This window comes from Homo sapiens, chromosome 9 (genome assembly GCF_000001405.40).
Source record: "Homo sapiens chromosome 9, GRCh38.p14 Primary Assembly".
Lineage (NCBI taxonomy): Eukaryota > Metazoa > Chordata > Mammalia > Primates > Hominidae > Homo > Homo sapiens.
Window position 1 is genome coordinate 92,365,459 of NC_000009.12, and position 12,864 is coordinate 92,378,322.

General features: G+C 39.4%; 1 protein-coding gene across 6 annotated transcripts in view, besides 1 other annotated feature; it reads left to right on the top strand.

Moving 5' to 3' along the window:
• CENPP (centromere protein P) overlaps window positions 1-12,864 on the top strand; it is a 295,062-nt gene that overhangs the window by 39,991 nt on the left and 242,207 nt on the right. The gene's annotated exons all lie outside the window — the stretch shown is intronic.
• Window positions 7,520-7,689: an enhancer, noted in NCBI's record as "experimental_109628 CRE fragment used in MPRA reporter constructs". NCBI's record gives its function as "activates a minimal promoter by MPRAs in K562 erythroleukemia cells, with activity observed for the non-introgressed 9:95135345 variant allele {active_cell/tissue: K562}" and the evidence as "EXISTENCE:reporter gene assay evidence [ECO:0000049][PMID:34662402]".

Here is a 12,864-nt window from a genome sequence, read left to right on the forward strand (position 1 = left end):
GGAGTTCAGGGGCATGATCTTGGCTCACTACAACCTCCACCTCCTGGGTTCAAGCGATTCTCCTGCCTCAGCCTCCTGAGCAGCTGGGATTACAGGCATCCACCACCACGCCCTGCTAATTTTTGTATTCTTAGTAGAGATGGGGTTTCACCACGTTGGCCAGGTTGGTCTCGAATTCATGACCTTAGGTGATCCACCCGTCTGGGCCTCACAAAGTGCTGGGATTATAGGCGTGAGCCACTGTGCCCAGCCTATAACTATTCTTATCCTCATGTAAATTATAAATTTGTGATAATAAGGACAATGTACCTTTATGTATTTCATTTCTTTCTTTTTTTTTTCTTAAACTAATGACTAACAGCATTGAATTAGAAAAGGTGTTTAATCTCTGTGGAGTTATCTGCAAAATGAAAGAACTGGAAATAATTATTTCCAGGGTTCGCTGGGCATGGTGGCTCACGCCTGTAATCCCAGCACTTTGGGAGGCCAAGGCGGGCGGATCACGAGGTCAGGAGATCGAGACCATCCTGGCTAACATGGTGAAACCCCGTCTCTACTAAAAATTCAAAAAATTAGCCAGGCGCGGTGGCGGGCACCTGTAGTCCCAGCTACTCAGTAGGCTGAGGCAGGAGAATGGTGTGAACCTGGGAGGCGGAGCTGGCAGTGAGCCAAGACGGCGCCACTGCACTCCAGCCTGGGTGACAGTAAGACTCCGTCTCAAAAAAAAAAAAAAAAAAAAAGAATTATTTCCAGGGTTCTGTCCCATTCTAAAAACTTATATATTTATGAATTGAAGAATAAAATATATCTGAGAAATGATGGAATTTACTGGAATTGGAATGATAGAGCTGTAGAAGAACATCCACAACTTAGATCTCTTCTTTATAACATGAGATGATTACCAATACTTGGGGAATCCTTCTCAGTGAAACCAGATATACAAAACACTGTTTCTTTGGGCCACCCTCTAGACATAAAATTACTTCATTTTACAGATTGTTTATTGTTTGGTATTACTTGTGGCACAGATTCCTAAACTCCTTTAGTAAGTATATGTGCCCACCACTATTTACAGATCACTCAACTGATCTAGTTAAAGTCCTCAGTAATGAATTTTATGTGCCAGATGCTTTCTTCAGTATTTGTGGTCTTTTTCTTTTTAAAAAGGCATTATTTTTAAAATAAAACACAGAAAAGTATAAAAAGTTATACCTGGAAGGGATTTGGGAAGAAATTATTCCTCTGATTAATCATTGTACAGGTAAGCTGAATGATTATTACACACACATGCTCATTTTTTCAAACATCTGAGGCTGTTTTGAGGATATTGTTTGAGAGGATCACGATTCAGTTAGTTCAGTACTGACTTCCCCAAGAGCTCTCATGGAGTTACTGCAGGTTGAACATCCATAATCTGAAATCCAAACTGCTCTAAAATCTGAAATTTTTTGATTGCCGACATGATTCCTTAAGTGGAAAATTCCACACCTGACTTGCGTTTGCAGTCAAAACGCAGGTGTACAACACAGTTCATTCAACATCCTCAAGGGAAAAAGACCCTCCCTGCTCCCTTCAGCTGCGGTAGCAGCACACATTCATAACAGAACAAGAAATCATATCAGATTCTAAAATCAAAGCTAGATTAATAAGACAAAAGTTGTTGTTAATGAGGCAGATAACTGTGGAGGAAACGTTTATTTTATTTTTATGTATTCATTTATTTTTTGAGACAGAGTCTCACTCTGTCTCCCAGGCTGGAGTGCAGTGGCACAATCTCGGCTCACTACAACCTCCACCTCTCGGGTTCAAGCAATTCTCCTGCCTCAGCCTCCCGAGTAGCTGGAATTACAGGGGCACGCCACCACACCCAGCTAATTTTTGTATTTTTAGTAGAGACAGGGTTTTGCCATGTTGGGCAGGCTGGTCTCGAACTCTTGGTCTTAGGTGATCTGTCCACCTCAGCCTCGCAGAGTTCTGGGATTACAGGCGTGAGCCACCATGCCTGGCCTTTGGAGGAAACATTTAAAAATGGTTCTACAGGAGCCATCCAGCAGAATGCCTCCTTATCCCTAGAGAACCCATTTCTTGGTCCCACAACTGTTTCTTATGTTTCTTCTCACCTAAAAAAATAAAATACAGTATACAGTAACATTTTATTTTATTTTATTTATTTTTTGAGATGGAGTTTCACTCTTGTTGCTCAGGCTGTAGTGCAATGGTGCGATCTCGGCTCACTGCAACCTCCGCCTCCTGGGTTCAAGCGATTCTTCTGCCTCAGCCTCCAGAGTAGCTGGGATTACAGGTGCCCGCCATCACGCCCAGCTAGTTTTTGTATTTTTAGTAGAGATGGGGTTTCACCACATTGGACAGTCTGTTCAAACTCCTGACCTCAGGCGATTCACCCGCCTTAGCCGCCCAAAGCACTGGGATTGCAGGCGTGAGACAGCGCACCTGGCCTATAGTAACATTTTAATCAAAACACAGCATCATAGGTGGAGACTGAAAGCCTACCATTGTTAGTTGTTGCTTTTTTTAAAAAGCTGGTAACTGGTATTTTGGTGATACTACACTGCATACATTATTTTTTCACTATTTAATGGCATGTCATGTTTTTTACTGTTAAGTTCTTATGTGTGAATAAGTTAAGAAAATTATTGCTTATTGGTATCATAAATTCAGAATCAGGAATGATGATGATGCTATATAGCCATAGATCATCTACATGGGTGGCTGAGATAGTGACATCTTTGTTTTCTCATGGATCATTGTGCACAAACTTTGTTTCACACACAAAATTATTTAAAATATTGTATAAAATTACCTTCAAGACCTGGACACTGTCCCCAAGATATCTCATTATATACATGCAAATATTCCAAAATCTGAAAAAAATTCAAAATCTGAAACGCTTCTGGTACCAATCATTTTTGGATAAGGGATACTCAGCCTGTATTCTAGCTTCCAATAATTTTATCAAAGTTAGCTTCAAAGCAGCTTCATGGGGCCGTTTATTCAATGATCAAGAGCTACACCAAATTAATCACCTTCATAAAAATATAACTATAGCTGCTGTGAAGAACAATTTCATGAGGTCTCTCTGGGAAGCAGTCCCAATGAGTTCATCGTCTGTTACAGAACCTTTTGAGTGACCAAATATGGAGAAACTAAATCTCACCTCTGGTATTTATATATTGTGGATAGTTTTTTTGGCTACTGACGGGAATCAGCAGCTTATATTTGACATATATCTGTGTTCATATGCACTGCATGATTAATATTTAAAAGTTAAGAATAAATGGCTCAGATGCAGTGGTTCATGCCTGTAATCCTAATGGTTTGGGAGACTGAGATGGGAGGATCGCTTGAGCCCAGGAGTTCATGACCAGTGTTGGCAACATAGTGAGACCCTGTCTCTACAAAAAAAGAAATTGAAAAACATTTTCCAGGTCTGCCTGCCTGCCTGTAGTTATAGCTGCTCAGGAGACTGACATGGGAGGGTCTCTTGAGCTCAGGAGCTCCAGGTTACAGTGAGTTACGATCATGCCACTGCACTCCAGGCTAGGTGACAGAGCAACACACTATCTCTAAAAATAAATAAATGGGAGCCTATTGTAATAGCTTTTATTATTACTAACAACTAATAATATAGTGAGGCTAACAGATGAAGAGACAATTGCCATTAAAAATGTAGTTACAGTTCACAAGAGGGAGAGGCACACCACACCATAGGGGCCACATGAGGAGCACTGGGGTCAGTCAAGAGACAAATAGGAGAGGGGAAATCTATGGGCAAGAGCTTTTATTGTGGTCTCCGTGGGAAGGAATGGTTGAGGCAGTGTAAGCCGGCTTAAGCTTGGCTTGTTTGAATAATTTCAGTGAGCTCTGGGTCAGAGGACCTGTCCCTAGTTAACTCTCTTGTATCTGGCCCTGGGGTGATTACAGCAGGTGGATAGTGGAGAGAACTGGTAAAGAGAGAACCTGGTAAAGGAGGTGGTTGGAGGTGTGGATTCTGGGTTGGTTGTTTTGCATTTGAAAAACTCACTCAAGGGCAAATTGTTGATTATCTCTAGAGATTGGCTAGGATTGCACTGAATTGGTAGATTGCTTTAGACAATATGGTCATTTTAACAGTATTAATTCTTCAAAGCAATGAGCATGGGATGTGCATGAGATGGCACATTTGTTATTGGTGTATAAAAACACTACTGATTTTTGTACATTGATTTTGTCCCGCAACTTAACTAAATTCATTTATCAAATCTAAGAGTTTCTTGGTAGAGTCTGGGTTTTTCTAGATATAAGATCATTTAAGCAAAAAGATACAATTTCACCTTGCTCTTTTCCAATTGGGATGCCTTTTATTTCTTTCCTTTGCCTGATTGCTCTGGCTAGGACTTCTGGTCATATGTTGAATAGGAGTGATAGAAGTCTTATTCTAGTTTCTAGAGGAAAGGCTTTCAACTTTCCCCTGTTCAGTATGATGTTACCTTGGGTTTTTTATATGTAGCCTGTATTATTTTGAGGTATGTGCCCTCCATGCTTAGTTTGTTGAGTGTTTGAATCCTGGGAGGATGTTGAATTTTATCAAATGCTTTTTCTGCATCAATTGAGATTATATGTTTTTTTCCCTATATCTTGTAGATATGATATATTACATTTATTGATTTGTATATGTTGAATCATCCTTGCATCCTTGGTATAAATTACATCTGATCATGGTATATTATCTTTCTCATGTGCTTAAAAGGGTTTGGTTTGCTAGTTACTTTGTTGAAGATTTTGCATCTGTGTTCATCAGGAATATGGGCCTCTAGTTTTCTTATGTATGTGTGTGTCCTTAACTTGTTTTAGTATCAGGGTAATGCTGGCCTCTTGTAGTGAGTTAGGGAGAATTCCCTCCTCTTTGATGATTTAGGAATAGTTTCAGGAGGATAAATATTAGTTCTTCTATGTATGTTTGATAGAATACGGCTGTTACTCCTTCTGGTCCTGGTCTTTTCTATGTTAGACTTTTTATTGTTTTTTTGTTGTTTTTTTGAGATGGAGTCTCAGTCTGTCTCCCAGGCTGGAGTGCAGTAGTGGCATGATCTTGGCTCACTGCAACCTCCGCTTTCCGGGTTCAAGCGATTCTCCTGCCTCAGCCTCCCAAGTAGCTGGGAACACAGTGGCGCATCACCATTCCCGGCTAATTTTTGTATTTTTTTGTAGAGATGTGCTTTCACCATGTTGGCCAAGCTGGTCTTGAACTCCTGTCCTCAGGTGATCCACCTGCCTCAGCCTGCCAAAGTGCTGGGATCACAGGCGTGAGCCACCACACCCAACCTAGACTTCTTGTTGATTCAATCTCACTACTCATTATGTTCAAGTTTTCTATTTATTTCTGATTCAATCTTGGTATGTTGTATGTTTCCATTTCCTCTAGGTTTTACAGCTTGTCCTTATAAGTTGTTGATAATAGTCTCTCATCTTTTTTATTTCTGTGGTCTCATTTGTATTGTCTCCATTTTCATTTAAATTGTTTGGGTCTTCTCTTTTCTTGGTTAGTCTAGCTAGTGGTTTGTCAATTTTGTTTATCTTTTCAAATAACCAACGTTTTGTTTTGTTGGTCCTTTGCATTATTTATTTGCTTATTTATTTTTTGACTATCTATTTCATTTAGTTCTGCTTTGATCTTTTGAAATTCTTTTCTTCTGCTAATTTTCTGTTTGGTTTGTTGTTGCTTTGTTCCTTGAGGTACATTGTTAGATTTATAGTTTATAACTTTTTACCTTCTGGATGTCAGCATTTATTGCTATAAATTTCCCTCCTAGCACCATTTTTGCTGTATCTCACTGATTTTGCTATGGTGTGTTTCCATTTTTACTTATTTCAAGGAATTTTTTTATTTCTATCTTAATTGTTTTGTTGACCCAGTGATCATTCAGGAACATGTTGTTTAATTTCCATGTATGTGTATAGCTTCCAGGGTTCCTTTTGGTGTTGATTTCTAGTTGTATTCCAGTGTGTTCTGAGAAGACACATGCTATGATTTTGATTTTTAAAAATGTTGAGACTTGTTTTGTGTCCTAACATGTGGTCTGTCCTGTAGAACGTTCTACGTTCTGATGAAAAGAATGTACATTCTGCAGTTGTTGGATAGCATGTTCTGTAAATGTCTGTTAGGTCCATTTGGTCTAAAGTCCAATTTAAATCCAATGTTTTTTGTTTGTTTATTATCTGTCTAATGCTGTGAACGGAGTGTTGATGTCCCCCATTATTATTGTATTGCAATCTAGTTCTCTCTTTATATTTGGTAATATTTGCTTTATGAATCTGGATGCTTCTATATTGGGTGTATATATATATTTAGAATTGTTACATGTTTTTTCTGAAATGACTCCTTTATCATTATATAATGACCTATTTGTTGTTGTTTTTTTTTTTTTGAGACGGAGTCTCTCTCTGTTGCCCAGGCTGGAGTGCAGTAGCTCAATCCTGGCTCACTGCAAGCTTCACCTCCCGGGGTCAAGTGATTCTCCTGCCTCAGCTTCCCGAGACTCGTGCCACTGTACTCCAGCCTGGGCAACAGAGTGAGACTCCATCTAAAAAAAAAAAAAAAAAAAGTGCTGGGATTACAGGTGTAAGCCACCATGCCAGCCATCTTTTTTTTTTTTTTTTTTTTTTTTTTTTTTTTAACTGTTCTTGACTTAAAGTTCATTTTAGCTGATATAAGTATAGCCACCACTTGCTTTTGGATTTTGTTTGCATGGGATATCTTTTTCCATCCCTTTAATTGCAGTCTATATTTGTCTTTAGTGTTAAAGTGAGTTTCTTGTAAGCAGTGTCTAGGTGGATAATATGTTTGAATCCATTCAACCTTTCTATATCTTTTAAGAAGAGAATTTAATCTGTTTATGTTCCAGTTTATTATTGATATATGAGGCTTTGTTCCTGTCATACTGTTGTTTTCTGTTGTTTTATATATTCTTTGTTCCTGTCTTTTTCTCTTACAGTTTGTCATTGTGATTTGGTAGATTTTTGTAGTGGTACTGTTTGAATTATTTTCTTGCTTTGTATGTTTTCTTTACCAGTGAGTTTTACACTTTCATGTGATTTCATGATGGTAAATGTCATCCTTTCGCCTCCAAGTTTAGGACTTCCTTGAGCATTTCTTCTAGGGATGGTCTTGTGGTAATGAATTCTTTTAGCATTTGTGTTGGGATGACTTTATTTCTCTTTCATTTATGAATGAGAATTTAGTTGACTACATTTGGTTGCCAGTTATTTTCTTCACACACTGAATATATCATTCCATTCTCTTCTGGCCTGTGAGTTTTCTCCTGAGAAATCCACTGTTAGTCTGATTGAGGTTTTTTCTTTTTCTTTTTTTTTTTGATAGGTGACTAGACTCCTTTCTCTTGCTGTTTATAGGATTTGCTCTTTAAATATGACTTTAGACAGTCTGATTGTAATGTGCTGTGAGGAAGATCTTTTTGCATTGCATTTGCTTTGAGGTCGTTGAACATTTTGTTTCTGAATGTCTAAATCTCTTGATAGACTTGGGAAGTTTTCATCTGTTATTTTATTAAATAAGTTTCCTAATCCTTTCTTTGTTTATTTGCCCTTGAGTATACTGCTAATTTGTAAATTTGGTCACTTCATGTTGTCCCAAATGTCACAAAGCCTTTTTTGTTTTTTAATTTGGCCATGCACAGTAGCTCATGCCTGTAATCCTAACACTTTGGGAGGCTGAGATGGGAGGATGGCTTGAGGCTAGGAGTTTGAAACCAGCCTCTTTAACATAGTGAGACCCCATGTCTTTTTATTTAAAAATATATATATATATTAACGACTGGGCTATACCAACATACCTGTTTTCAGGTTTTGAGATTCTTTCTTCTGCCTGATCTGGTTTATTGTTGAAGCTTTCAAATGTATTTTATATTTCCTTCAGTGATTTCTTCAGTTCCAGAATTTGTTTTGTTCTTTTAAAAATACCAATCTCTTTGATAAATTTATCATTCATATCCTGAATTATTTTCCTGATTGTATTGTTTTTCTGAATTCTCTTGTATCTCACTGAGCTTCTTTAAAAATTAATGTTTTGAGGCCAGGCATGGTGGCTCACGCCTGTAACCCCAGCACTTTGGGAGCCCGAGGTGGGCGGATCATGAGGTCAAGAGATCAAGACCATCCTGGCCAACATGATGAAACACCGTCTCTACTAAAAATACAAAATTTAGCTGGGCGTGGTGGTGCGTGCCTGTACTCCCAGCTACTCGGGAGGCTGAGGCAAGAGAATCACTTGAACCCAGGAGGCGGAGGTTGCAGTGAGCCGAGATCATTCCACTGCACTCCAGCCTGGTGACAGAGTAAGACTCCATCTCAAAAAAGAAAAAAATCAATGTTTTGAATTCTTTATCTGAGATTTCTGAAATTTCTTTTTGACTGTCTATTGCTAAATAATTATTGGGTTTCTTTGTAGGTGTCCTGTTTTCTTGCTTTTCATGTACCTGTTCCCTTATGTTGATATCTGCACATACACTGTAGCAGGCACTTCTTTTTTGGCATTTGCTTTTGTAAGGGAGGACTTTTTTCCTGAAAATGTATCTATGGTGCTGGCTTGGTCTACCCCCAGTTGCTGGATTGCTACTGGCTTGCTTTCCTGTTCCAGCAGTGACCAAAAAAAAAAAAAAAAAAAAATTATTCTGCCAATCTCTGCCATTTGATGGTGAGTTTAATCCATTTACATTTAAACCAATTCCTGATAAGGAAATATTTACTTCTGCTGTTTTGCTGTTTGCTGTGTGTGTGTGTGTGTGTGTGTGTGTGTGTGTGTGTGTGTATGTGAACCCCTCCTGGGTTCAAGTGATTCTCCTGTCTCAGCCTCCCAAGCAGCTGGGATTACAGGCATGTGCCACCACACCCAGCTAATTTTTGTATTTCTAGTAGAGACGGAGGTTTCTCCATGTTGGTCAGGCTGGTCTCGAACTCCCAAACTCAGGTGATCCGCCCACCTCGGCCTCCCAATCTTTAGTTATTTTCTTACTGGTTACCTTGAGAATTACAGGTAATATCTTAAACTTATAACAACCTAGGTTAAATTAATACTAAACTAGATTGGCATTAATAATACCTTTAATAATTTGCAAAAACTCTGCTTCTTATATCTATGTTTCTCCCCCTTATATTGTGATTGTCACAGATTGCATCTTTCTACATTGTTTGGCCATTAACATAGATTAGTAATTTTTGTTTTATGCATTTGTCTTTAAATCATATGGGAAAAAGAGGGCTTATTAATAAAAATACAGTGATACTTTCTTCATTATTTACCTATGTAACCATTGTTCATTATTTCTATATATGGTTTTCAGTTACTGTCCAGTGTTTTTTCCTTTTAGCCTGAAGAATTCCCATGAGCATTTTTTTGTAGGTCAAGTCTACAAGTAACAGACCTCAGCTTTCTTGAATCAGGGAATGTCTTAATTTCTATTGCATTTGTGAGAGAGAGTTTTGCTGGATATCAGTCTCAGGATTCTCTCTCTTTGGAGCTCAACAGATTTACTATAATGTGTCTTGATGTGGATCTCTTTGAGTTTATCCTATTTGCAGTTTATGCACTTCTTGGATGTGTATATTAACTTTTTCATCCAGAGGGATTTGACTGTTATTTCTCAAGATATAATTTCAGCTCCCTTTTTTTTCAACTTTCCTTCTTTGACTTTCATTATGTATATGTTAGTACTTTTTTGGGTGTCCCACAAGTCTCTTAGGCTCCGTTTATTTTTCTTCATTCTTTTTTCTTTCTCTTTCTTAGACTGGATAATTTCACTTGACCTATATTCATTTTTACTGATTCTTTTTTTTTTGGAGAGGGAGACTCACTCTATTGCCCAGGCTGGAGCGCAGTGCCGCAATCTCAGTTCGCTGCAACCTCTGCCTCCTGGGTTCAAGGGATTCTCCTGCCTCAGCCTCCTGAGTAGCTGGGATTACAGGCACACACCACCACGCCCGGCTAATTTTTGTGGTTTTTTTTTAATAGAGATGGGGTTTCACCACATTAGCTAGGCTGGTCTCAAACTCCTGACCTTGAGATCCGCCCACCTCGGCCTCCCAAAGTGCTGGGATTACAGGCGTGAGCCACCGCGCCCGGCCATTTTTACTGATTCTTATGCCCACTCAAATCTGCTGTTGAGCCCCTTTAGTGAATTTTTAATTTCATTTGTTGTACTTTTCAGTTCTAAAATTTCTATTTCTTTTAAAAAAATTTCTCTCTTTATTGCCATTTCCTGTTTGTTGCATACTTTGTTCTCTTGATTTTCTTGAGTTCTCTAAACATATTTAAGACAGTTGATTTAAAATCATAGCCTAGTAATTCCCCTAGTCATTCAACAGGAGAAGTTTCTGTTAATTTCTTTTTTTTTTTTTCCTATGACTGGGCCATATTTTCTTGTTTCTTTGCATGCTTAGTTTTTTGTTATTGTCATTAAATACTGTACATTTTGAATATTATGATGGGCAAAAAGGAAAAAAATAAGAAAAAAAGATATCTTCTCCAGGTCTGTGCATTTTGGTTCTGTATGGGGACACTACTTCAGTGCTTAGCCAGGTCTTTCACAACCCTGCCTTAGTCCTGTCCTTAGCCTAGAGATTAGCCAGAGGTTGAAGTTATGCTCCCCTCAGATCTCTTCTAAGCATGCATTCTGCCCTGAGCATTCAAGTGGCTTTCTAGTTCCCTGGTATACTTGAGCACTTTTTCCAAGACTTTATTCCCCAAAGATTCTCATTCCCTACCTTTTCTTTCCTTGGCTTTCAGCATATCTGTTGTTTGTCTCAACTGTGCTTTTGCCCTACACAGCAGCAACTTGTTAATTTGCCTTTTAGTATTTTTGAAAAACATCCCCTGTGTAGCTATGTCTTCATGGTGAAGCAGCATTGTTGTCTGGGGTAATACCCAAGGTTCATTGTCCCACAGCCACGGAAAACCAGGACATGAACACACCACTGTGAGGTTAAGAGTGGATATTTAATAGGTGAAAGAAGGAGAGGAGCTGTCTGCACAGAGAGGGGTCCCAGAGAAAATGGGTTGCCGCTTCCACAGTCAAATGCAGGTTTTACAGATGAGCTTGAGGAGGCAGTGTCTGATTTACATAGGGCACAAAAAATTGGTCAGACCAGGTGTACCGCTTGCATAGGATGTGAAGAAGCTGGCCGCCCCACCCTAATCTTTTATTATGCAGATGGGTTCTCTACTGGGCCAGCGCCATGTTGCCTGCTTTTTTACTGTACACGTGGTGACAAAGAAAAGGGAAGATGGAGACCAGGTGCAGTGGCTCACGCCTGTAATCCCAGCACTTTGGGAGGCCAAGGTGGGCAGATCACCTGAGGTCAGGAGTTCGAGACCAGCCTGGCCAATATGGTGAAACCCTGTCTGTACTAAAAATACACAAAAAAATTAGCCAGGCATCATGGCGCACGCCTGTAATCCCAGCTGCTTGGGAGGCTGAGGCGGGAGAATCACTTGAACCCAGGAAGCGGAGGTTTTGGTGAGCCGAGATTGCACCACTGCACTCCAGAGTGAGACTTAGTCTCAAAAAAAAAAAAAGAAAGAAAAGGGAAGATGGAGCCTCCATGTTTAACATACTTGGCTTCCAGGTATCCCTTTTCTATTGCAGAGCATTTACCTGTGCAAACTTCTAGCTTGCTTATCTATGTTTGCAGCTCTATTTTTCAGGCTGCTCTTTGTTAGAAAAGAAATGATTTGGGGGCTGCTTTTTATTAAAAGGGAAGCCTTTCTGAGGGCTCCTTAACCCTCACTATCTACCTAAATAATTTCTTTCTAGCTCCTGTATCAATTGCAAGAAAGTTCTGACTTAGCTGAAATGCAGTCAGACCCCTTGAATCAAAACGATTCCTTGGGAATGAGGTCTCTTTTACTTGGGAACCAAGTCAAGACAAACAATTCCTTGAGAATAAGATCCCTTTGACTGTTGTCAGGATTAGGTTCTCAGGCTAGTAAAGTAGCATGCTATCTTTAAGACTGCTACTGTGGCCAGGTAGGGAGTGTGGCAAGGGTATCTTACAGTACTACAAAACGCTCTTAGCCTTTTTCAGTTGCCCTTTTTCTGATTAAGTGTTTTCTCAGTTGTAAGCTTTTTACTCTCTTCCCAAATTCCAGTAAAAGTGATTCTGACAGCTATGCAGTAGTTTTCAGTGTTTCTGAGACAGGATGACCCCAGCACTTCCTATTTTGCCAAAATTTTTTTGTTCTTATTGTTGAATTTCTAATTCAAAAGCACACCCTAGCCCACTTTAGTCTGTAGTTCAATATCCTATTGTGGTCTGCCCTACTTATGTACTATCCTGAGGCCAATGTGAATTCTGGAAATTATTCTATACTATAATTCAGTTCTCAGTATTTTTTTTCTGTGTAGATTCTGGTTCGTTTTATGTAGGGGTTATTTAGGATTTCATAAACAGATGTAAAAGATTCTTGTCTGAAGGCTCCTCTTCTCTGATTCTCCCTTATCTCTTCTTGGGATGACTTAAGTGCAGGGTGTGGAAAGTTAACAGAGCAACCCACTGTGTGTGCAGCTGCCATGCTGGTTGAGATCAGAAATGACATCCTTTCTTTGCTTATGTTTGCTTGGTGTCAGTTGGGGCTAGCTGACAAAGCTTCCTCTCTCAGTCTTTCCAATAGCAGTACCCGATTGGGAGGTGAGGACTCTGCTTTGCCTGCTTTTCTTATTGTTGGCAGTGATGGTTGACAGGCTTCACACCTCAGCCTCTGTGGCTAAAGTGCCTGATTAGGAGTGAAAGGGGCACAGCTCCTTTTTGGCATTGGGGTTCCCTTCTGCCAGGCCTGTTTCTTCTCATTTTGCA